The following is a 26895-nucleotide window of genomic DNA, read 5'->3' as shown; positions in this document are numbered from 1 at the left end:
TCCCAATGAGCCCCATATTTTGAAATAGTTCTGACCACCAAACAAATTACAGTAACTACATATTTCATTTCCCATTATATTCATCAAAAGGATGTATAACTGCCCATCAGAACATCTGATCAGCGAGTGAAAATCTGGGCCTTCACAATGGATTATAATCATTTCAGTGGAAAGTAAAGCAGTTATTATTTTAGGGACCCAGAAAAATGAGGGGGATTTATCCAAGGTCATTCAGATTAGCTGCTGATAAAACTAGGGCTCAATCCTGGACCTCCTGACTCCAAATCAGTGATCATCCCCTAGTCCTAAGTGGTCACCTTATTTATTTGACATGACATGCCGTGTCATGATATCTCTTATGTCATGATATCTGACATAAGAGATTTAAATCCCTTCTAGCCAAACAGTATAAAACTTCAGAATAAAATATCTACTTTTTCAAGGCCCTACTTGCATGACTAACACAAGTGGGCAAGCCCTCTGCACCCCTAAATGTGGCTCATCAACACCACAGAACAGGCCATTGCCTAGGTGGCCTCCATGCTGGGCTGTCTCCCCAGCCAATGTGCCTATAGGTTCTACAGCTATTTAGCAGAGCTATAGGATAGGGGGCAAGTTTTGCATGTTCAGGCTTTCTGGTCCATACCAGCTTCTCATTGACGAGTAAGAGTCAAGTCAGAGTAGGGTGCAAGGAAGTCATCCTTGAGCCTACCTGCATGGAGGAGGGGGTGAGAGAGGGCACGGTTTGGCATTGACTCCGTCTTGCCATGGAGAGCAAGAGCTGAGAAGTATGAGGGCTCCATACTCATCCTGGTGTGGGCCATCAACCTCATTTATTGGCTGGAAGGTCAGCATTATGATAGGTGTCCAATCCCAACACCTTCTATAAAAGGGAACAAAAAAGAACCAAAGGAAGAAAAGCCTAAGAATTAAAAGGGAGGCCAGGAGAGGTGGCTCACGCCTGTAATCCTAGCACTTTGGGAGGTTGAGGCAGGTGAATCGCTTGAGCTCAAGAGTTCGAGACCAGCCTGGCCAACATGGTGAAACCCCATCTCTTAAAAAAAAAAAAAAAAAAAAAGTGAGGCATGGTGGCATGCACCTGTAGTCCCAGCTACTAAGAAGGCTGAGGTGGGAGGATCACATGAACCCAGGAGGTCGAGGCTGGAGTGAGCTGAGATCGTGCCACTGCACTCCAGCCTGGGGGACAAAGTGAGACCCTATCTCAGAAAAAAATAAAATTAAAATTAAAAAGCATTAAAAGGGAATCCCTCCGGCCGTGCAATGGAAATAATTAGTGCCTATGAGTAAGTTAAGTGAGCCTGTTGTTTAAAAACCAATACTTCACAAAATGTGTATGCTCTTTATGTGTGTGTGTTTGGGGCAGTCCCTCCCTTTAGTTCATAGTAGAGTTCCTTTTGAATGCTGCCGCCCACCTTAGCTTTATTAAGGGGCACAAGGAAGGAGGATTTTGTCTTTTCCATACTTGGGCCAAAATTTTAGGTGGAAGAGGTAAATCTTTAGGGACAAATATGGTCACGGCAATAGGATGCAAAGGAGAGAAGCTGGCAAGAGAGAAAAGGAAATTCAGAGAACCAGATTAGATAAAAGTTTTCAGTTGAGCCCTCCGTCTTGGAGAGAAAATATCTGAAACTTGTATTTGCTCAAACGCTGGAAGCCATTCTATGCCTGGGGGAGAGGAGAAGAGTTCAGTGTTCCAGATGACTGGCAAGCTTGAATGTCAGCCTTGCTGCAACACAGACCCGGAAACCTTGGGAGTTCCATCGGCGTGGTCCAGAGAGATGCCGTAATGTCAATTACATTTAATGTCACTGCTCTGTACTCGCTCAGCCAGATGTGTTCCATGGCAAGAGATGTTGTTTCCTAAGGAAACCTTTAGGAAAAAAGAATAAACGTCCTCAATGAGCTTCCTCTGGGGGCAATTTGTATCCGCCAGTGGCTGAACCACTTTATCCAACATCCTTCTCTCCCTCCAGATATTACGCACACAACCTCTATGCTCAAGATCCTTCACCAGGCCCTCCTGAGTATGTTTGGGACATATATGATATAAATGGGAAAGGATACAGGGGGCAATGTGGACACAAAGGGAAAAAGTGGCAAGGTCCTTGGCAAATAATTACCTATATTGAGCTAAAATTACCTAAATCAAAAGTTACCTGTCCTTGAGGGGTGTATTTTTTCCCCTGGGGGTGCCAAAACAAAGTACCACAGACTGGGTGACGGAAACAACAGAAATGTATTTTCTCACAATTCTGGAAGCTGGAAGTCTGAGATCAAGTTTTTGGTAGGGTTGGTTTCCTCTAAGGCCTCTCTCCTTAGCTTTCATTTTATTTATTTTTTATTTATTTATTTATTTATTTATTTATTTATTTATTTATTTTGAGATGGAGTCTCACTCTGTCATCCAGGCTAGAGTGCAGTGGCACGATCTCGGCTCACTGCAACCTCTACCTCCCGGGTTCAAGTGATTCTCCTGCCTCAGCCTCCTGAGTAGCTGGGATTACAGGTGCCCACCAACATGCCCAGCTACATTTTTGTATTTTTAGTAGAGACGGGGTTTTACCATGTTGGCCAGGATGGTGTTGGTCTCTTGACCTCGTGATCCACCCATCTCAGCCTCCCAAAGTGCTGGGATTACAGGCATGAGCCACCGTGCCCGGCCACCACGAACACTTTTTAGCTGGGCAGTGAACATAGCAGTAATAATATATGTGTATAGCTCCTTATAATTATTAAGATTTTTCATCAACGATCTCATTTTCATCACTACAAATACTCAGTGAAAGCATCAGGGCATCACTGGAATCATTCCATAATGATTATTATAGGAAATTGAGGGGAAGAGAGTTTAAATTGCTTTACCAGCAGATTCGAGGGCTGCAATCAGAACTGTGCTATAGGCAAATTCATCTGACAGACTTGTGAAGAATGCTCTGGAGAGGGAAGAGGAAGGAGGCAGGGAGCTATTCAAGATTAGAACAGGAGTGAAGTGATAAAAGCTGGAATTAGGGGAGTGGTACTAGAACTAGAAAAATGCCTTAGAGGAAACCAGCCCTACCAACAACTTGATGTTGCCTTGGATAATAAACATGCTAAAAATGAACATGCTATGAAATAAGCAAAAAGGCCCCTGGAAGGGTAATGCATTTATTTGGTTCCTATCATACTTCATATCTCAGCAGGAATTAATTGATCAGATTCTTCCCTGCCTTTGCTAAGTAGGAACACGAAGAAGGTGCAGCTCTGTTCCCACATGTCTTTCACAGGCATTTAGTATATTACCCTGTAATCATGTATTCATATATTGTCTTTCCCACTAGAGTATGAGTTCCTCCGCTGGAAAAGTGGCAGTACAGCATTGTATTCATTTTTGTATACCTGATACACAGCAAAATGCTTCTGTAGTTAGACGCTTAATAAATACCTTTGGAATGAATGAATGAGTGGGCAGGTGAATGAGTGAACATAAATAGCAGAGGCTAAGACCTTAAGGACAAGTGCCAGTGGCTTAGAGCCATCAGGTAAATCTGTCCTGAAAGACATCTCTCTAAGATCCAGAAACTTAAAGCCAGGACCGAATACTAGGTCACTTCAGGTGACAGCCATTTCCATATGTGGACTTTATCATAGAGAACTGCCAGGGAAATGGCAAAGATGATCTGAAATAACTTGTTCCACAGAATAGGTTTCTAGGTAGAAACCAATGGTTCCCTCTCCATGGCCCTGCCCTGGTAGTGGTCCAGGGGTCCTTTCTTGTAAGCTCACAGACAGCACGCTGGTCCTCCTTCCTGCTGCCATTCTCACATCACTGCCTGGCACGTGGCAGGAGCCACCGAAACACCTGTTGAATGAACAAGTCTGGCAGTAACAGAAAAGTGGTGAGATAAGATGGAAAGACCCAGGCCAGGCACAGTGGCTCGCGCCTGTAATCCCAGCACTTTGGGAGGCCAAGGTGGGCAGATCACTTGAGGCCAGGAGTTCAAGACTAGCCTGGACAACATGGCAAAACCCCGTCTCTAATATGCTAGGAGTGGTGGCATGTGCCTGTAATCCCAGCTACTCGAGAGGCTGAGGTATGAGACTCACTTGAACCCAAAAGGCAGAGGTTGCAGTGAGCCGAGATCGTGCCCCTGCACTCCACCCTGAGCGACAGAGTGAGACTCCATCTCAAAACAAAACAAAAAAAGAAGTCATGACTTTCAGAATTTGTGGGAGAGTGGGATGGTATTCTACCTCCTATCCACTTTCTCCCCACACCTACCTTCCTTCCTTCCTTCCTTTCCTTCCTTCCTTCCTTCATTCCTTCCTTCCTTCCTTCCTTTCCTTCCTTCCTTCCTTCCTTTCCTTCCTTCCTTCCTTCCTTGCTTGTTTCTTTCCTTCCTTCCTTCCTTCCTTCCTTCCTTCCTTCCTTCCTTCCTTCCTTTCTTTCTTTCTTTCTTTCTTTCTTTCTTTCTTTCTTTCTTTCTTTCTTTCTTTCTTTCTTTCTTACCTTCCTTCCTTCTTTTGTTCATCTTTTTGGCTCTAATTTAACCTGCCCCTGTGTCAAACCCCCACACCTTTCTGACCATGGAAGATCTTCCTTGGAACTCCCAGTAACTACAATTCTCACCTCTTAGTCTATTGTTCTCAAGCCTATCTGTCTCACCTGTCACAGCCCTCTATGATCTAATCCCTGTGTGTGTGTGTGTGTGTGTGTGTGTGTTTAGTGTGTGTGTAGCATTTTTTTCCAACTACTTCTGACAATAACATCTCTCCTACTTTTACCTCCCTTCAGTTTTCCTTCTGAGAAACCTTTCAGAGTCTGGGCACAGTGTCTCATACCTGTAATCTCAGCACTTTGGGAGGCTGAGATGGGAGGATCACCTGAGGTCAGGAGTTCAAGACCAGCCTGGCCAACATAGTGAAACCCCATCTCTACCAAAAATACAAAAATTAGCCAGGCATGGTGGCGAGCGCCTGTAATCCCAGCTACTCAGGAGCCAGGAGAATCATTTAAACCCGGGAGCGGAGGTTGCAGTGAGGTGAGATTGCACCACTAAACTGCAGCCTGGATGACAGAGTGAGTCTCTGCCTAAAAAAAAAAAGAGAGAAAGAAACAAAGAAAGAAAGAAAGGAAGAAAGAAAGAAAGAAAGAAAACCTTTTGAGGACCTCTTTTCCCTTTGAGAACCTCTCTTCTCCCATTTCCCCACTTGTTCCCAGTTCCAGGGATGCACAAAGTTCTCAGGCCTAGCCAGTTACAGCACTCCATCCCTATGGTGGCAGGAACTGGTTTGGCAATGGACACAGAACTCAAGATTGACCAAACCCAGGCTTTTTACAACTAAATTGGTCAAAGTTAAGCCTGGAATTTATATTCTGGGGCCATTTTGCTCCCCTTGGGAAGAGCTCACCTGAAATGAAGTCAACTCCAAGATAAACAGAACCCAGAGATGGTGACTGGTATATTTCTGATGACATGATATGTATAAGCACCTGCATTTAACCATGCCTAAAGCCAGAAATCCCTGGATTTTCAGATATAAAAATGTATCAGTTTCCCAGGGCTGCTGCGGGAAATCACCACAACCTGGGTAGCCTCAAACAACAGAAATATATCCTGTCACAGTTCTGGAGGCCAGACATCTGAAATCAAGGTATAGCAGAGTGGTGTTTCCTCTGAAGGCTCTAGGGAAGAATTCTTTCCTGCCTCTTCCTAGATTCTGTAAACACTTTCTTAGCATGGCTCAGTGGGCTCTGCAGATGAACACGTGGCATGTAATTTACAGCCATCTCCTCTGGTGGTAATTTAGACACCCGCTTCCTGAAAATTCAGGGCCTTTGATATTTTGCCCACCCCTCACCACATCCCAGCCCATCTCTCCTTGCTTGAGCCCATGTTTTGACTAAACAGAAAACAGATTCTAATTCCTGTCTTGAGAAGCAATGAGTGAATGCTCCGTAAGGATATACCCATGACACGGTAGAGGTAGCATTTGATGTGCTCTTCTAAAAGAGGCAGATGTTTCTAGAAGCCGAGGCATTAGGCACACCCTAGACCTCAGTCTTTATGGAATATAACAGAGGCAGTAAGTTGGAGAAGAAGTCTTGCTCATATACATTTCTTAGCAATGACTAGAACCTGGGCCATGCACGCAATTGACTAGCTTCCCACTGTAAATGTTAGGCAGGTACAGATGAGGCTTCTAGGACATGAGGGCAGAAGTTTAGGGGGGTTGACATTCAGACTTGAAGTTCTTCAAGGGAGAATCTGTTCATCTCTTAGAAGGTCTGAAGTCTGGAGGTAAAGATTCCTACTGTCCAAGGAAAATCTTGGGCATCCAATACCCTTCCCATCTGCTAATCTAAGTCAAGAGAGGATCTGTGACTAGTATGAGACAGAAGAAAAATAGAACGGGAACCAACTTATTTTGTGGACATGTAAATTTAGGCTATTCCTGTTCATGGGGTTGGATTTTCTCCTCATTCTTTTGCCATAGGCAGGTACATTCTTGCATGCTAAGCTCTATGCTGCCACAACTGCGGACCACTGATGCTCTTCTCCCCTTCTTCTTCAGATTCCATCCAAATGCCCTTGTGCAGAATTCAGACAAATCTGTGACAGCAGGGCATAGTGAAAACAGCATAAGCTTTGAGGTCAGAAAGACCTGGACCAAATGCCAGCTTTGAAAGCCACTTAAAAGCCCTGCGGCCCTAAACATAACAGCTACACTTACGTAGCACTTAAAACACGCCACGTACTATTCTATGTGCCCTACACATGTTAACTTACTTAATTCTCACCACTAACTCATGAGGTTGTGTACTATTAGCATCCTATTTTATAGATGGGGGTGTTCAGGTATGGAAAGGTCAAGTAACTTGCATCTAGGTAAGCTGCAGAACGAAGATGTGAATTTACACAGTCTGGCTCCAAAGTCAGTGTCTAAGCCACGCACGGTGGCTCATGCCTATCATTCCAGCACTTTGGGAGGCCAAGGTGGGAGGGTCTCTTGAGGTCAGCAGTTCGAGGCTGCAGTGAGCCATGATCACACCACTGATCCAGCCTGGGCAACAGAACAAGACCCTGTCTCAAAAAAAAAAAAAAAAGTCAGTGTCTTTAACCACTAAGGCAAGTTTCATTACCTCCCTCCATTCATTTCTTCAACAACTGTTTCCTGAGTGCCTACTCTGTACCCAGCACTGCACAAGATGCTGAAGATGCAGTCAAGGACATGGTCCTGACCCTGCAGGCACTGACATTCTAGTGGGAGAGGCATCACAATACACAGTGTGGGTTGCAGGTGTGCTATGGGAATCCAGAGTAGGGGCAGTCAAGAAAGGCTCGCTGCTGGGCATGGTGGCTCACACCTGTAATCCTAGCACTTTGGGAGGCTGAGGCAGGAGGATCACTTCAGCCCACATGTTCAAGAGCAATCTGGGCAACACGGTGAGACCCCATCTGTAAAGAAAAAACTATCTTTTTAATTTTTTAAAAAAGAAAGGCTCATTGGAGGATGTGACCTCTGAGTCTTATGGGGCCAGTGAAAGGTAGACCATGGGGCCACAGGCAGGATAAAAGAGAAGGACAGGTTTTTCCAGGTGGAGAAAATAGTGAATGCAAAGATAATTGTGTGACGGTTCATGTGCAGAATAGAAGGCAACTCAGTGTAGCTGGAACAGAGCATGGCAATGGGACAGCTACACGAGATGAGGTTGGAGAGCCAAGCAAAGTCATATTTCCAAGGGTCTTTCTACCGTACTAAATTTGAAGTTGAACTTGAAAAAAAATGACATTTTTAGAAAACATAGTGAATACACTGGAAAATATGAAACTGAAGGCAAAGAGTCCATTTTACACAAAGATGTGAGAGTTTGCATTAAGCAGGTTAACAGGGATAGAGAAAGGTCAGAGTCAAAGGTATTCAGGAGCTCGAATATATAGAACCAGGGCTGGCTGAATGTGAAGCAAAGGAAGAGCGAGGGATCAAACATGCCTCGCTGGTTCTTGGTAAGTAGGGAGTAGCCCCATTCAATCCGATAAGTGATGCAGGAGGCACAGCGCTGAATTTGAGGTGCTTGTGAGACCTCCAAGGGAAGCCACCTTGTCTGGTTATACTGGTCTTTGAGGAGGAGGTCTGGTGGTAGATTTGGAAGTTGTTGGCATCTAGGTGTGCACAGGTCTGGGGGTGACAATGATACCAGGGGAACTGGGGAGGAGAGATGAAAGAGAGCTGAAGTCAGAACCAATGTTCACAACACACGCCCATGGAAAAAGAACCAATGGCAGGTAGCAGGAAGGAGGAAATTCTAGAGAAGAGGGTGTCATGCAGGCTGAGGCCAGAATTTTAAGAATGAGGATGTGTCACAGAGCTGAGGAGTGGGCCGACCTCTACTTGTAGGTGGGTCTGCACATCTAACTCCCCACCAAGACTGTGATCGAAGAGCAGAGTGGTGTCTGATGCATCTGTTTTCCCAAAACAGCAGGTGCTTAATATGTAAGGAATAAGGAAATAATAAGAGCCAATATTTATTGAGTGTGTACATGTGCCAAGCACTAGACACTTTGCATGGGTAATCTCATTCAGTTCTCACAACCATGGTATTAGGTGGATGCTGTTTATATATATACTCCCAAAATGCTGGGATTACAGACGCGAGCCACCACACTCAGTCCTGATAGCTGAATTTTAACAGGGAAGAAATCCTTTGAATGGCTAATCTGACAGAATTTTCAGCATCACTATTAGAACTGAGAAGAAATGATGCCTGGAGGTGTGCCAGCATCTTGGTTCTGCAGCTTACCTAGATGCAAGTTACTTGATCTTTCCATACCTGAACATCCCCATCTATAAAATAGGGATGCTAACAGCAGCCATGGTGCACACAGCTGGCCCTGCCCTACCCTGAGCCCCTGTGCAGCGTTAATGAGCAGCTGGGAGCTATCTGCGCAGGCCCAGACCCCGCCTGCTGGGGTTATGGGCCTTCCCCTCCAGGGAGGGCTATAGGTGGGAGCTGAAGAGCAGGAGGAGATAAGTAAAGTAGCAGATGGCGCTAATTTCCTAGTGCACTTATCAAGCTCACTAAGGCAGGGAAGTGCGGGACTATTCAGCCTTACACAGTGAGGAGCACAGCTCAGTCAGCACATTAAAACCAGCCGCAAGGCCGGGCACAGTGGCTCACGCCTATAATCCCAGCAGTTTGGGAGTCCAAGGCCAGCAGATCACTTGAGATCAGCAGCTCGATACCAGCCTGGCCAACATGGTGAAACTCCGTCTCTACTAAAAATAAAAAAAATTAGCCAGGCATAGTGGCGGGCACCTGTAGGCCCAGCTACTCGGGAAGCTGAGGCAGGAAAATAGCTTGAATCCGGGAGGCGGAGGTTGCATTGAGTCCAGATCGCGCCGCTGCACTCCAGCTTGGGCAACAGGGCAAGACTCCCGTCTCAAAAAAAAAAAAAAAAAAAAAAAAAAACAGCCGCAGAGCTGAACCCACTCATGGAGCACACGCTGACAAAGTCTGTGACGTGCAAGTAAAAGGAGTGTCCTCTTACTTCAGTTTCTGGTGACCCAGAACTAGACCTTGGGCAGTAGTTCTCAACCTGTGAGTCACAGAGGTTGGCACGAAAACAGACGAGAGCACAAAGTTAACCCTTTAATAGCACTCTAGAGCAATGCAGTCCAGTAGAAAATATAGAAATAGAAATAGAATGTGAGCCCCCATGGAATTTAAAATTTTCTAGTAGTCATGTCAAAAAGACCAAAGAGAAACAGGGGAAATTAATTTTAATATATTTTCATTTAACCCTAAATATATAAAATATTATTTCAACATATAATCAATGGAAAAATTACTAACAAGATTTTTTACACTCTTTTTATTATACTAAGTCTTTAAAATCTGGTGGGTGTTTTACATTCACTATGCATTTCAATTCCAGTTAGCCACATTTCAATTGCTCCATTGCCACATGTAGTGGCTGGTGCAGCACTCGAGCCTGTAAGTCTGAAAAACCGGGACAGCAGGAAAGTCAGGCCCCTGACACACAATCAGCCAGTGAAATCTGAGGAATGGGGTCGAAAGGGATCCACCAGCTTGTACCTGAGGTCCATATGCAATCAGCTGATAAATCTGCAAGATAGAAGATATCCCTGCACTTCAAAAACTCTGTCTACTGCTTTATATGACTTCTTTTCTGTCACAATGCTCACCTTCATGTCCATTTAGCCTCAGTTTACCAAAAAAAATCATTATCCCCGCTGGGAGTGGTGGCTCATGCCTGTAATCCCAGCACTTTGGGAGGCCAAGGTAGGAGGATCACCTGAGGTCGGGAGTTCGAGACCAGCCTGACCAACATGGAGAAACTTCGTCTCTACTAAAAATACAAAATTAGTGGGCATGGTGGCACATGCCTGTAATGCCAGCTACTCAGGAAGCTGAGACAGGAGAATCGCTTGAACCCAGGAGGCGGAGGTTGCAGTGAGCCGAGATTGCACCATTGCACTCTAGCCTGGGCAACAAGAGCGAAAGTCGGTCTCAAAAAAATATTATCCCCAAATATTTATTGAGAGTACAGCATGCCTGCACTGTGCTAGATATTGGATCCAGTAATGTATTCTGCATCTACAATGCATTGCAGATTACAAAGCCCTCAACACAAATCAAAGAAGTTGGTGTATCAATTATCTATTACTATGTAACAAATGGCTACAAATTTAGCAGCTTAAAACTACACACACTATTTCATCATCTCTGTGGGTTAGGAGTTCCAGCTATGGCTCAGCAGGATCCTCTGCTTAGAATCTCACAAGGCTGTCAGGTGCAGTGGCTCTTGCCTGTAATCCTAGCACTCTGGGAGACGGATCTGAGGCAGACGGATCACTTGAGGCCAAGAGTTTGAGACCAGCCTGTCCAACATGGTGAAACCCCATCTCTACTAAAAATACAAAACTTAGCCAAGAGTGGTGGTGCACACCTGTAGTCCCTGCTATTCAGGAGGCTGAGGTAGGAGGATCGCTTGGACCTGGGAGGTAGGGGTTGCAGTGAGCCAAGATTGCACCACTGTACTCCAGCCTGAGTAACAGAGTGAGACTCCATCTCAAAAAAAAAAAAAATCTCACAAGACTATAGTCAAGGTGTTGGCAAGGGCTGGGTCCTCATCTGGAGGCTCAGCTGGGGCTTGTCATGGACATGCAAGTCGTTGAAATGCAAGTTGTTGAAGCTGTTGAAATGTGAGCCTAAGATCAGGCAGCTTAATCTGTGAGGATGTGAGGACGTACTTCCACCCTCATCACTCACGTGATTGTTAGCAGTATTGAGTTCTTTGTGGTTGTAGGACAGAGAGTCAGCTCTCTGCTGGATTTTGATCAGAGGCCACCCACTGTTCCCTGTCTCATGCCCCCCCCGCCCCCCATAGGCGGTTCACATGGCAGCTAACTTCTTCAAGGCTGGCAGTACTTCTAATTCCAGTCTGCTGCAAGGTTGTTTTATACAATTTAACATAATCATGGAATTGACAGCCCATCACCTTGGCCATATTCTATTGGTTGAAAGCTCATAAATGTGCAAGACAGAAGATATCCCTGCACTTCAAAAAACCTGTGACTTGGTTGAAAGTGAGGGTCGGGGACAATGATTGGCAACAGTCACTCAGCTTGTAGGAGAAAAATTCATCACTAAGGTCCACGGATGCTGATTCCATGGCCAATGTCCCTTCTAACACAGAGTGACAGTGAAACGTGGCTCCTGCTCTCAGGCAGCTGGCTAAATAATTGGGGATGGCAGCTAGAAATAAGCTTACCCAGAACTCCACAGTGTCCCCACACATGTGAGAGACTTGGCCCAGGGAATAGGTTGTAAGGAACCTCCACTGGGTTCTTAAACTGTCCCTTCCTGGAGCTAGGCAGGAACATCAGAGATGAGACATGAGACTTTGGCCTGGCAAGAAGAAATCATGGGCTCATGTCTAGGAGTAGGACTGCCTGTTTTAAGAAACCTCATCGGCCGGGCGCGGTGGCTCACGCCTGTAGTCCCAGCACTTTGGGAGGCCGAGGTGGGTGGATCATGAGGTCAGGAGATCGAGACCATCCTGGCTAACAAGGTGAAACCCCGTCTCTACTAAAAATACAAAAAATTAGCCGGGCGCAGTGGCGGGCGCCTGTAGTCCCAGCTACTCGGGAGGCTGAGGCAGGAGAATGGCGTGAACCCGGGAAGCGGAGCTTGCAGTGAGCCGAGATTGCGCCACTGCAGTCCGCAGTCCGGCCTGGGCACAGAGCGAGACTCCGTCTCAAAAAAAAAAAAAAAAAGAAACCTCATCCAGCCAAGAACCTCATCCACAACTGTTCCTAGGAGATTTTGCACTGTAACTCCTAAGTTCCCCCTTCTCTCACTTAGGGCTTAACTGTAGGATGCTAAGGTCAAAGCCGCTTACTATAGGTTTCCCACTTTCTCTGCCAGGCACTGTGGAAACTGCCCTGATCTTAGGCTCATATTTCAACAGCTTCAACAACTTGCATTTCAACGACAAGTCCCTAGTGGTATATCGGAAAGCAGTGCCTGGACAATCGGATCTCCTAATGCCTCTGTTACCCCATCCCCAACATGTAGAATCAAGGTCAAACTTAAGGAATTTTGGCTAGATCAGCCAGGCGCAGTGACTTACGCCTGTAATGCCAGCACTTTGGGAGGCCGAGGCAGGAGGAATTGCTTGAGCTCAGAAGTTTGAAACCAACCTGGGCAACATGGCAAAACTCCATCTCTACAAAAAGTACAAAAATTAGTCAGGTATAGTGGCATGAACCTGTATTCCCAGCTACTCAGGAGGCTGAGACAGGAGGATCGCTTGACCCTGGGAGGTCGAGGGTCCAGTGGGCCGTGCTCACACCACTGTACTCCAGCCTGGGGGACAAAGTGAGACCCTGTCAAAAAAAAAAAAAAAAAAAGGCTGGGGGGATTTTGGTTAGCTCAATTTAATTCTCTCTGGCTCTACCAGAGATTGTAGCCCATCTGCTGGGGCCACAGTGGAGAGGAGAAATTTTGAGTGAAATTTTCTCATACAAAAGCGAAGGAGTTATAAAACGTTCACCATGTTTTGGGGGGCGAGATATGCACACTGCAAGTGATGAATGCAAGACAATATAAGCCACTTCATAAACATTATTAAAAATAATAAATTAATTAAGTTTATATCGTTAAGTAAAAAGTTACTATATACACTAAACACCTTAGCATTTCACAGACAGAAGAGCCCATTCTGAACCAGAATCAGGTAACTTGATTTGGGCTTAGGAAGAGACCTAGGTTTAGAGCAGTGGTTCTCAGGTGACGGCAATTTTGTTTCCCAGGAAACATTTGGCAATATCTGAAAACATTTTTGACTGTCACAGCACAAGGAAGGAGGAAGGGTTGTATTAGTCTATTTTGCATTGCTATCAAGGAATGCCTGGCCGGGCGCGGTGGCTCACACCTGTAATCCCAGCACTTTGGGAGGCCAAGGCGGGTGGATCACGAGGTCAGGAGATCGAGACCATCCTTGGTAACACGGTGAAACCCCGTCTCTACTAAAAATACAAAAAATTAGCCTGGCGTGGTGGCGGGTGCCTGTAGTCCCAGCTACTCGGGAGGCTGAGGCAGGAGAATGGTGTGAACCTGGGAGGCGGAGGTTGCAGTGAGCCGAGATCGTATCACTGCACTCCAGCCTGGGCGACAAAGTGAGACTTCGTCTCAAAAAAAAAAAAAAAAAAAAAAAAAAAAAGGAATGCCTGAGATTGGATAATGTACAAAGAAAAGAGGTTTGTTGGTTCATGGCTCTGCCGGCTGTACATGAAGCACAGTGCTAGGCATCTGCTTCTAATGAAGGCCTTGGGAAGCTTGCAATCATGGTGGAAGGCAAAGGGGAAGCCCATATATCACATGGCAAAAGAGGGAGCAAGAGGTGAGGGATGCCAGGCTCCTTTCAATAACTCACTCTCACATTAATTAACAGATGATCCAGAACTCACTACCAGAGGGGAGGAGCCAAGACATTCATGAGGGATCCACCCCCAAGACCCAAACATCTCCCACTAGCCCACCTCCAACATTAGAGGTCATATTTCAGCATGAGATTTGGAGGGGACCAAACATCTAAATCATATCGGGGGTATGGATAGGTGCAACTAGCATGTAGGGAATAGAGGCCACTGTACACTGGACGCTGTTATACATCCCACAATGCACGAAACCCTCCCACAGCAAGGAATTCCCTGGCCAGAAAAGTCGGTAGTGCTGAGGTTGAGGATCCCTGGCCTAGAGTTGGCAGAGAGAAAGAGAGGAAAGCTTTGGGCAAAGGTTGTGTGTGGGAGTGTGAGGGTTCGGGGGTAGAGGGGAGGTATAAGATGGAGGCAGGTGGAAGAACAATAGAAACACCAGGACACCCCCCCACATTGTCATCTGGAGGAAGATTCCCTCCACCAACTAATGATAACTTATCTTCTGACTTACTGATCTCCATTAGCAACAAATATAAGAATCCCTTTTACATTTCACCTTTCATTCCTGTTCACCTTTTATTCCTGCATGAAACAAGATCTAATAACCTTTCAGAGGTTTCTTCAGACCGCGACAAAATTACCTTTCACCCCTACTATACAACCAAAGATATTTTAGGTTTAATTTTTCTCCTCCTCCTACTAGTAACCCTAGTACTATTTTCACCTGACCTCCTGAGCGACCCAGATAACTACGCTTTAGCCAACCCCATCAACACCGCATCCCACATTAAGCCAGAGTGGTACTTCCTGTTTGCCTATGCAACTTTACGATCCATCCCTAACAAACTAGGAGGCGTACTGGCCCTTGTATTCTCCATTCTCATTCTAGCAGTTATTCCTGTACTTCACACGTCTAAACAACAAACCATAATATTCCAACCATTGAGTCAGTGCCTATTCTGAATCTTAATGGCCGAACTATTTACACTCACATGAATTGGGGGACAGCCCGTTGAATACCCTTTTATCGCCATCGGACAGACAGCATCTATTATGTACTTCTCTACCATCCATTTTATTTTATTTTATATTTTTTATTTTATTTTATTTTATTCTATTTTATTTTATTTTACTTTATTTCGAGACGGTGTCTCGCTCTGTTGCCCAGGCTGGAGTGCAGTAGCGCAATCTCGGCTCACTGCAACCTCCACCTGCCAGGTTCAAACAATTCTTCCGCCTCAGCCTCCCAAGTAGCTGGAACTACAGGCATGCGCCACCATGCCCAGCTAATTTTAGTAGAGACGAGGTTTCACCATGTTGGCCAGGCTGGTCTCTAACTCCTGACCTTGTGATCCACCTGCTTCAGCCTCCCAATGTGCTGGCATTACAGGCGTGAGCCACAGCGCCCGACCCTTCTACCATCCATTTTAGAATCTTAAAATGTTACCACTGAAGCTTAGAGATCCAGCCCAACTCCTTTGTATTGCAGATGTGGAAACTGAACCCTAAAAAGACAGAATTGATTGCTCAAGGCCACAGAGGTTTCTAAATAGCAGAACCAGCTGCAGAACGCAGGCCCCTAACTCACTGGCCAGTCCTGTTTCTTCTGTTTTATTTTTGACATCTAACAGCCCAGTAACCTTTTGAACATCTCACATTCAAACCTCTGAGCTACAGAATAGTTTTCAATTCAATAGGAATCTCAGGAGGTTCCTGTTGAGTTGAAAACTATTCTGTAGTTCAGAGGTTTGTAAAGCTTTTCTGCAAAGGACCGCAGAGTAAATATTTTAGGCTTTATAAGCCAGACGATTTCAGTCACAAATACTCAATGCTGCTGCTGTAGTGTGAAAGCCGCCATACACCATACATAAATGAATGGGTATAGCTGTGTTCCAGTAGAATTTATTTATAGACACGGAACTTAAATTTTATACAATGTATGTGTCAGAAAACAGTAACTTTTCTTTTAATTTTTTTCACCCATTTAAAAATGTTAGAAGAGTCCAGGCGCAGTGGCTCACGCCCTGTAATACCAGAACTTTGGGAGGCCATGGTGGGTGGATCACCTGAGGTCAGGAGTTCGAGGTCAGCCTGGCTAACACAGTGAAACCCCATCTCTACTAAAAATACAAAAAATTAGCTGGGTGTGGTGGTGCACACCTGTAATCCCAGCTACTTGGGAGGCTGAGACAGGAAAATTGCTTGAACCCGGGAGGCAGAGGTTGCAGTGAGCTGAGATCGTGCCATCGCACTCCAGCTTGGGTGACAGAGCAAGACTTCATCTCAAATAAATAAGTAAGAATTGTTCTTAGCTCCAGACCACACCAAATGGTGGCAGGGGAGGGGGAGGGGGGTGGGGGGCAGGTGGGAGCAGGGAGGATGTTACCAGATTTGGACTCTACATCAAAATTGCTGATATGCTGCTATCAGAAAGTAGATCTCTGTAACCAGCAGGAAAAAATTTTAAAAACCTCCAGAAAAGTGCAATAATTGCAAACAATACATACCATAAATACTGTTGTTGCTAAATGTAAGATAAAGTTTCATATTTCTATGTGTACACACACATACACATAAGCACCAGAGAAAGATCCAGAAGGATCTTCATAAAATTCGTAACAGGAATTACTTGGGGGAGGGGAGGAGGCTTGATGGGAATAGGTGAAGGAAGGCCTTGCAGTGTTTCCATGTGTTTTATAATGAGAATATATTTATGTCTTAGTCCTGTAACTTTTTAAAGTTTTAAATTTAAAAACAGTCCATGTGTATCTTATACTAGTTTAATGAATTTGCCTCACCCCTCACAAATCAACTTCATCCCTCCTTGCTGTCTCATCCGAGGGAATTAGGGACAGAGCTGGAGAAGCCCAGGACAGAGCTTCTGCCCCTGCTTAGCGAGTCGCCAGGAGGCAGCCCCGGGCCCTGAGGGTTTCCGGTCATTTTATGGTTTGGGGGAGGGAGGGGAGAAATGCTATTTCGTCAAATTAAAAAAAAAATAAAATTACTACTCTTTCTGCTGGGATACTGGTGGTCTAGTTAGAGGATCTGACTTTGGAAACCCCAAGGACAAAGGAGACGTAAAAAGCAGCCGCAGCCAGTCCCCTGGTGTCTGGGTCGCTGCTCTTGAAACCTCCAGCACATGTGGTTTCAATCACCGAGCCTGGCGCCTTCCGCCACTCAGAAGGCCAGCAGCTTCGGGGCGCCCAACTGACTTCTTTGTTTGCGAGGAGCTGGGCCTGGCAGGGTGGCCGCCTTCGAGAGAGGTTTTAGGCTCAGCCTTCCCCTTTCTATAAAATTCCGGAAATATCAGGGCAGCCCCAGGCGACAGGCTGCAGGCAGCCTGCAGCCTGCTCGGGGGAGCTCTCATCTCTGGGGACAGCCTAACCCTGAGACCTCTTGGCCAGCGCCGTCCAAAGCAAACAGTGAGCAGATGGTCCAAGCTCGGCCTCTGGTGAAACTGTTTATTCTTAGGAGATGGCCATCTCCCCTCTGGGACCCTGTCGGCTCCACCAGGCTTTGCTCCTCTTTCCCTTCCGCATCTCCTCCTTCCTCCTTCTAAACGCGAGTCCTCTGAATTTGATGCCATTTTTGAGCTTTAAGAAAGGTCTACCCCGTCTCTACTAAAAATACAAAAAATTAGCCGGGCGTGGTGGCGGGTGCCTGTAGTCCCAGCTACTCGGGAGGCTGAGGCAGGAGAATGGCGTGAACCCGGGAGGCGGAGCTTGCAGTGAGCCGAGATCGCGCCACTGCACTCCAGCCTGGGCGACAGAGCGAGACTCCATCTCAAAAAAAAAAAAAAAAAAAAAAAAGAAAAAGAAAAAAAGAGAAAGGTCTGCAAGGAAAAGTCAGCATTCTTTCCATTGTGGAAGGTTCATTTGGTTTCCTAGAGGAGAAGGGTTGAATGGAAACATACGGGGCTCGGGAAACTGGACATGGGAGGTTTACATACCCAGTTTGGAATGAGGACAAACCTTGTTTACCTATGTTGGCAGCCTGTCACATCTAAAACCAAATGCCATTAGCCAGCCCCATAAGTAAGATTCCATTTTTGGTAAATTACTAAAGTTATACTTTCAGAAAATCAAAGGTGACAGGGCGTCGTGGCTCACACCTGCAATCTCAACACTTGGGAGGCCGAGGCAGGTGGATCCTGTGAGCTCAGGAGTTCGAGACCAACCTGGCCAACATGGTAAAACCACCCTCTCTACTGAAAATGCAAAAACTAGCCAGGCAGGGTGGCATGTGCCTGTAATCCCAGCTACTTGGGAGGTTGAGGGAGGAGAATCGCTTGAACCTGGGAGGCGGAGATTACAGTGAGCCAAGATCGCGCCACTGCACTCCAGCCTGGGCGACAGAGCGAGACTCAGTCTCAAAAAAAAAAAAAAAAAAAAAAAAATTACTTAAAAGTAATAACCCAAGTTCCAGCCATGAAATATTACACTGGAGAGACCATAGACTTCCATCTTGGCCTAGAGCGGCCCTTAAAGCGCCAGGGAGAGGAGGGTGGGGTGGGGGGGGACAAGGAGGGCGGGGTGGGGGGGACCACCCTAGAACTGGCCACCGGCGGTATCATGGCAACCTGAACCCGGCTCCCCAAGAATATGAAAGTGAGGACGACTCTTACGAAGTGTTGGATTTAACTGAGTATGCGCGAAGACACCAGTGGTGGAATCCAGTGTTTGGCCACAGTTCGGGATCTATGGTGGAAAAATACGCAGTAGCTACCCAGATTGTAATGGGTGGTGTTCCTGGCTGGTTTGCAGGATTTTTGTTCCAGAAAGTTTGAAAACTTGCAGCAACTGCAGTAGGTGGTGACTTTCTTGCCGTCAGATTGCTAGTCATAGTGGCTACGTGCAGATTAACTGGAAGAGAGTTGAAAAAGATTCAAACAAAGCAAAAAGGCAGATGAAGAAACGAGCGAACAAAGCAGCACCGGAAATCAACAATTTAATTGAAGAAGCAATAGAATTTATCAAGCAGCACATTGTGATACCCGGTAGATTTGTGGGAGGCTTTTTGCTCGGACTTGCATCTTAAGGACGTGAATGTTCTCCCATAGTGGATTCAACTATGAGAAGAAAAGTGGCAGCAATAAGGGGTCTTTCAACAGTACATGCTGCCAGAGTCTGTAGGGCAAGGAGAAACAACTAGCTGGAAAATACTGAATTCACAGCTTAGCATTTTGCCACCCGAGGCTAGGCAAACTAGTATCTGCGACAATAGTATTCCTGAGCAAAACATGGCTCTCATCATTTTTGCAAAAATTTGGATCTGTTTAGAAATTAGCCTATAAAATATCACCATTGGATTTAGATATGCAGAGAAAAGAAATATGCTGGATTTATTGCCTAGTGAAATATTATTCTCTTTTTATGTAAATAAAATGTTCTTCATTGTGAAAAAAAATAGAAATACTACAGTGGAAATACAAACCTACAGGCAATCATCTTACCTTAACCCAATTCCTAGCCTGGACTCCTGAAATATCTATGACAGACACCTCATTCAGGACTTCGTTTTTCACTGTTCCCTCTTGGGACATTGTCAGTCCTTAGCTTTGACCATATATACATGTACATATGGTATACAGGCTCTATAAATCAGGGTCCCCTCCCCCCACCTTTTTTTTAACTTTTGAGAACACCACAAACACTGCAAAGATATTTGACAATTTTCTCAGGTTTTTTTTTTTTTTTTGAGACGGAGTCTTTTTCTATCACCCAGGCTAGAGTGCAATGGCATGGTCTTGGCTCACTGCAACCTCTGTCTCCCGGGTTCAAGCCATTCTCCTGCCTCAGCCTCACAAGTAACTGGGATTACAGGCGCCTGCCACCATGTCTGGCTAATTTTTGTATTTTTAGTAGAGACGGGGTTTCACCATGTTGGCCAGGTTAGTCTCGAACTCCTGACCTCAGGTGATCCACCTCCTTCAGCCTCCCAAAGTGCTGGGATTACAGGCATGAGCCACCACACCTGGCCTATTTTGTTGTTCTTGAAGTAAATAAGGAAAAAAATTTTCAAAACCAGTTAATTTGTTTATTGCTGCTCTTGGATTTATGACAGCTGGTATCCATGAAGCCAAACGCTGTCCTGACAGTGTGCTGGCACACTGACAAGCTCACGTGCTAGAGAGCAATTTTTTTTTTTTTGAGACGGAGTCTCACTCTGTTGCCCGGGCTGGAGTGCAGTGGCACAATCTCAGTTCACTGTAACCTCCACCTCCTGGGTTCAAGCGATTCTTGTGCCTCAGCCTCCTGAGTAGCTGGGACTACAAGCATGCACTACCATGCTGGGCTTTTATATTTTTAGTAGAAATGGGGTTTCACCATGTTGGTCAGGCTGGTCTCGAACTCCTGACCTCACGTGATCCCCCACCCCCGCCTCAGCCTCCAAAAGTGCTGGGATTACAGGTGTGAGCCACCGTGCCCAGTCTAGAGTGCAAATTTGAACATGAAATGCCCTTGCTTAAAAACCCCAATGGCTCCCCTTTGCCTAAGTACCAGGGACAAATTTTAATCTTCTTAGTATGCTATTGTGAAAGAAAAAATTAATCATAATACTTGTTAAAGATGGTAAGAAATATTCAAGGGGAGTGTAGGAGAAAGAAAAAATCTTTTCCTTCTACCCTTTTTGGTCCTTTGCTGGGGCTCTGTAACAAAAGACAGATTAATAAGAGAAAAGCATACTTTTTTTTTTTTTAAGACAGAGTCTCACTGTCGCCCAGGCTGGAGTGCAGTGGCGAGATCTCGGCTCACTGCAACCTCCCCCTCCCAGGTTCCAGTGATTCTCATGCCTCAGCCTCCCGAGTAGCTGGGATTACAGGTGTGTGCCACCACGCCTGGCGAATTTTTGTATTTTTAGTAGAGACAGGGTTTCACCGTGTTGGCCAGACTGGTCTTGAACTCCTGGCCTCAAGTGATCCGCCCACCTTGGCCTCCCAAAGTGCTGGGATTATAGACAGGAGCCACTGCCTACAAATTTATTTAATATAAGTCTTATGTGACATGAGAGCCTTCATAAGGAAAAGAAGCCCCAGAAAAATAGTTAGACATGTTTTTACTAGGTTTGATGAAGAGTAAAAAATCATGGGAAAAGGGTATGATCTAAGGGTAATAAGCTGGGGGAGACAGCAAGGCCTCCCCGCTCAGATTCGTCTCAGTGTTCCTGTCTTCACAGACAAGAACACTCCTTCCTCTGGGCATAAGGAGGTTGCCTCTCATATCAGGGGCTTATGACCTTCTTGAGGGGAAGGTCAGACAGTCCTTCCTGCACCTGCTCTTTCTCAGATTTCTTCGGCTTAAAATACTCAATATGCCAAGGTGTCATATTTTGGGGTAGGATGTTCTGAACCGCATCATAGTAGTGGCTACTACAATGGGGTTTTGTAGTATGGGCTAGAGATGGGGCTCAAATCTAGGGACAATAAGCGAAAGTGGAAGTTTATAGCCAAGAAACAAGGTAGGGGAATCAATGGATGCAAAATCACTAGGAAGTAGGGTAACTCTTTGCTAAACTGACTTAACAAGATTTCTGCTAAAAGGAAGCAAGGGTAAGAAGATGTTGACGGTGGTCAGACCGAGAGGAGGATTCCACTAAACTCTCTCAGTAGGATTCTTAATAAAACTGGAGTAAGCAGACCTAGACAGAGCCAAAGATTGGGCCTAGTCAAAAGGAGGACCCAGAGGAGCCTGACTAGGGCCCGGTCAAGGAGTCTGTGTTCATGTGAACTTCTGATTTTGCTCCATTACGCTTTTCCAGCCTCATTTCCAGTCATTAGAGCCTGTGGATTCTATACTGATGTCATTGCAAACTTCCCGTCTTTCCCTGAACATATCTCCAGGTCATCCCAACAATTCTAGAATTCCTTAGTGGGCAGTTATAATCTCAGAGGCCAGGCATAGTGACACACCCCTATAACCCCAGCCTTTGGGAGGCCGAGGCAGGCAGATCGCTTGAGGTCAGTAATTTGAGACCAGCCTGGCCAACATGGTGAAACCCTGCCTCTACCAAAAAATACAAAAATTAGCTGGGCATGGTGGTGCACGCCTACTTGCAAGGCTGAGGTGGGAGAATCACTTGAGCCTGGGAGGTGGAGGTTGCAGTGAGCGGAGATCACACCACTGGCCCTCCAGCCTGAGCCACAGAGTGAGACCCTGTCTCAAAAAAAAATAAATAAATAAAAATAAAATAAAAAACAGGGCCAGGCACAGTGTCTCACACCTGTAATCCCAGCACTTTGGGAGGCTGAGGTGGGTGAATCACTTGAGGTCAGGAGTTCCAGACTAGCCTGGCCAACATGGTGAAACTCCATCTCTACTAAAAATACAAAAATTAGCTGGGTGTGGTGGCAGGCGCCTGTAATCCCAGCTACTCAGAAGGCTGAGGCAGGAGAATCACTTGAACCCAAGAGGCGGAGGTTGCCGTGAGCCAAGATTGCACCACTGCACTCCAGCCTGAGCAACAGAGCAAGACTCTGTCTCAAAAATAAAACAAAATAAAATAAAATGAGAGAGACAAAAATAAGAGAAAAAAAAGGAAAAAGTTATCACCTCAGAGCACAGAGGAATAGAAAACATTGGGGAAACTGTGATTTAGGAAACAGCCATCTCCATGTGGGCCTTCCGAATAGCTTTCCGTATTTGACAGTTCCCCAAAGTAATCATTCCTTTGCTGAGTCCTTAATAGGGCAGCTGCCCACTCACCGGCCGTGTGCCCTGGCATGGGACTGAATCAGCCTGCAGGAAGTTAGGAATCATATCCTTCTGCAATTTGCTAAAAAGAAAAAAAATGCTATTTGTAGAGCAGAGGTTCTGCCTCAGCACTTGGTTCAGTTCTGCTCCTTCCTGAGAGGTTTCTTACACATAGACCCCCCCGCAAAGATTATTACTTTCCTTCACTTTTGTACTTCTTACTATAATAGCTAAGATAAATTTTATACAACGTGCTTTAAACAAGATTGCATTTAATCCTTATGAGAGCCATGTGAAAAGATGGCTCATTTTATAGATGATAAACGTAGGTTTAGAAAAATTAAGGATCTTGGTCAGGTGCAGTGGCTCACGCCTGTAATCCCAGCACTTTGGGAGGCTAAGGCAGGTGGATTGCCTGAGGTTAGGAGTTCGAAACCAGCCTGGCCAACATGGTGAAACCACGTCTCTACTAAAAATACAAAAATTAGCCGGACGTGGTGGCGCATACCTGTAATCCCAGCTACTCGGGAGGCTGAGGCAGGAGAATCACTCAAACCCGGGAGACAGGGGTTGCAGTGAACCGAGATCACACCATTGCACTCCAGCCTGGGCAACAAGAGCGAAACTCCATTTCAAAAAAAATAGAAAAGAAAAGAAAAAAGAAAGAAAGATAGATTAAGGTCAGAATCAGGACTCCAATGTGACCCAAACCCACTCAAGTAACCATCCTCCACACTGTGTTTTGAAACCCAGTATTTAAGAGTTTGGAAAAGGTTAGTTTTGGGCTTATTTTTGGTTATTGTTCATTTGTTTTGTTTTGCTTCTAATCTTAAATATATAAAATTAAAGTAAGAAGAGTTAGAAATTCCCTCCAAGAGTCAAAATATTTCTTTGTCAAAATATTCTTTCTATATTTTTTCTTTTTTTTCTGTATTTTTTTCTAATCTTTGTGGCTACCAGGAAATATTTCTCAATGGAATTGATGGAGCAAGAGAAATTTCTAGGCTCTTTATATTTGAGGGATGAGAAAAAGATCTAAAACTAAACAGTCATACTATTTGGGGGGAAAGAAAAATGATCACCTAAGTACTATTTTGGAATGACAGATATTATTTTTGAAATCCGGCTGGGCACGGTGGCTCACGCCTGTAATCCCAGCACTTTAAGAGCCCAAGGGGGGTGGATCACTTGAGGTCAGGAGTTCAAGACCAGCCTGGCCAACATGGTGAACCCCTGTCTCTACTAAAAATACAAAAATTAGCCAGGCATGGTGGTGCACACCTGTAATCCCAGCTACTTGGGAGGCTGAGGCAGGAGAATCATTTGAACCCGGGAGGCAGGGGTTGCAGTAAGCTGAGATAGCGCCACTGCACTCCAGCCTGGGTGACAGAGTGAGACTCCGTCTCAAAAAAAAAAAAAAAAAAAGGAAAAGAAAAAAACGATTCCATTTGGGGAAGGAAAACAAAGAACTTACCACACTTTTTGCTATGACGGTGTTTAGAAGCAGCTCTGAATGGAATTTTAGATTTGTGAACTATTTTCTGACTCCTGAACTACTTTTTTTTCCCCAACCCTTTTCCACAGCTCAACCCTCACCCTCCCAGAATGCCTGCTGTCCATTCCCTGGCATGTGCAGGAGGCAGGAACAATGCAGTTCCCAGTGGGTGCCTGCCAGTGAAGGTGGGCTTCTGTCCATCTGGGCGAGGACATCACTTAGGGGCCATCAGCTTGTGTCAAAGGAAGGGTGTTAAAATTTTTCTTCTCCCTCCTGACTTGCTTAAAAACCATCCAGACCATACCATTTTTCTTAATTTGCACTGGGTGGACGATAAATAATCTTTCTTCCTTTTTAATTTTGCCGAACCCTGCCCAGAAAGCAGGGCAAAGCCTTGATGGTCCTGGGGCCATTTCCCAGCACCTCCCAGGGAGCTCTACCAGACCACGGTGACTCTGAGTGACAATGATGGGAAGTGATCTTCATCCACGAAAGGGCCAGTTTGAGGCCTCTCGGGGCAGTTACATCCCTTGGACTCCCCTGTAAAGTTCCCAGAGTTTCAAATTTCTGAAAGATGAATACCATGCAGTGTTCTCCAGCCCCAACACTAATTTTCTTTACCTCCTTTTCCCTTGAATATTTTTACTCTTTCTCACCATCTGCATTCCTATGAAGAGAGGTTTCCACTCAATTCTGCTTTAACATGCTCTTTTCTGAGTGTGGGCAGAGTCTTCTCTGTGGCTTAGTGGTTTTGAATGCTAAACAGAGCAGGAGACAAAAGTTGATCCCTGGCTCTGTAACTTATATTTATTTCTCTAGTTTCTTACGTCTGGAGCCTCCAGGAAAAAAAAAAAGTGTGTTTTGATAAAAAGGAAGGAGTAGGTGGATTAGATGTGAAACACCGTTTCTGAAAGCAACAAGGTGTCAGAAGTCAGAAGGCCTGGGTTCCAGTCCCAACTTTGCCATTAACTTGCATCAGTGTGGCTTGTCATTTAGCTGCCTGATGTATAAGATAAAGTGGTCAAATGAGAAGTGGTACTGAACTATATCTATATATTATATAATATATAATATTATTTTATATAAATATAATATTTATATATATAAAATTTATATACTGAACTATATATCATATAATATATATTATATTATATAAATATAATATATATTATATACTATATAATTACAATATATATTATATAATTATATAATATATTCAATTATTTTTGAAATTGAATATTCAATTTTGAATTAGAATATATTTGAAATTTTTGAAATTAATTATATATAATCTATAATATATCATATGATATATTTTATATAATATATCATATGATATATATTTTATATAATATATCATATGATATATATTTTATATAATATATCATATGATATATATTTTATATAATATATCATATGATATATTTTATATATATGTATATTAAGACAGAGTTTCACTCATTGCCCAGGCTGGAGTGCAATGGTACAATCTCGGCTCACTGCAACCTCTGCCTCCCGGATTCAAGCAATTCTCCTGCCTCAGCCTCCTGAGTAGCTGGGATTACAGGCACCCACCACCACGCCAAACTAATTTTTTGTATTTTTGTGTCTTTGCTAGAGATGGGGTTTCACCATGTTGGCCAGCGTGGTCTCCAACCTGACCTCAGGTGATCCACCTGCCTCGACCTCCCAAAGTGCTGGGATTACAGGTATGAGCTACTGCTCCTGGCCCTGAACAACATTTAGAAGCACAAATTTTAAAGCAGACAGATCTTCAGTTTAACACCGGCTGTGCTAATTATTGGCTGTATTTCTGCAGTCAATTTCTTTGACTTCCCTAAGCCTCAGTTTCATCATCTATAAAATGGGAATAAAAATCATACCTATTGTATGGGGTTGTGTAAGGATTAAAAAAGATGCTGTTCACAGAGCTCTTAGCCAGTGTTCCATATAAGTAGCTATTAGTATAAAAGTTTCATAAAATTCTTCCCACCTCTATATATTTTAATATTCAATTTGAGAAAAAGGTCAAATTAGTTGTTTGACAGATACTGATGATTAAACTTTTAATTATTTTTCACTTTTTAACTTGCAGTCTTTTTCTTTTTTTTTGAGACATGGTCTCACCATGTTGCTCAGGCTAGAATGCAGTGACGTGATCATAGCTCACTGCAGCCTCTACCTCCTGGGCTCAAGCAAAAATCTCACATCAGCCTCCCAAGTAGCTGAGACTACAGGCTTGTGCCACCACATCTGGCTACTTTTTATTTTTGGTAGAGGCAAGATCTCGCTATGTTGCTCAGGCTGGTCTCAAACTCCTGGGCTCAAGCGATCCTCCCACCTCGGAATTACAGGCCTGAGCCACCATGCCAGGATTACAGGCCTGAGCTACCATGCTGGCATTACAGGCCTGGGCCACCATGCCAGGATTACAGGCCTGAGCCACCATGCCCGCCTTGTAGTCCTACTTTGTTTTTGTTTTTTTAAAGAAGTCCCCTTTCTTCCTGGTTGGCTGAGTTGTTTTTTTTTTTTCTTTTTTTAATCATGAATGGGTATTCAATTTGTTAAAGTCTTTTTCTTCATTCTTCATCTCCTGAAATGATACTGCTTTTCTCCTTCATCCTATAAATATGGGGAATTACTATGATTAATTGATTTTTTATTGTTAAACCAACCTTATATTCTGAGGATAAAACCTACTTGGTCTGATGTATTACCTTTTTTTTTTTTTTTTTTGAGACA

The 26895-nt window shown here is 44.6% G+C and overlaps 1 protein-coding gene and 1 pseudogene across 1 annotated transcript in view, besides 1 other annotated feature; both read left to right on the top strand.

Annotated features, from left to right (window-relative positions):
* The window catches only part of CLMP (CXADR like cell adhesion molecule), a 125377-nt gene that overhangs the window by 40324 nt on the left and 58158 nt on the right, over positions 1-26895 (top strand). The window lies entirely within an intron of this gene.
* Positions 17443-19684, top strand: LOC107984350 (FUN14 domain-containing protein 1-like; annotated as a pseudogene).
* Positions 20288-20508: a silencer, noted in NCBI's record as "fragment chr11:123005125-123005345 (GRCh37/hg19 assembly coordinates)". NCBI's record gives its function as "represses an EF-1alpha promoter that drives an FKBP-Casp9 reporter gene in an ReSE screen in HepG2 liver carcinoma cells {active_cell/tissue: HepG2}" and the evidence as "EXISTENCE:reporter gene assay evidence [ECO:0000049][PMID:32094911]".

Source organism: Homo sapiens, chromosome 11 (assembly GCF_000001405.40).
Source record: "Homo sapiens chromosome 11, GRCh38.p14 Primary Assembly".
In the NCBI taxonomy this organism is placed as follows: domain Eukaryota; kingdom Metazoa; phylum Chordata; class Mammalia; order Primates; family Hominidae; genus Homo; species Homo sapiens.
This window is presented reverse-complemented; position numbering and strand designations above follow the sequence as displayed.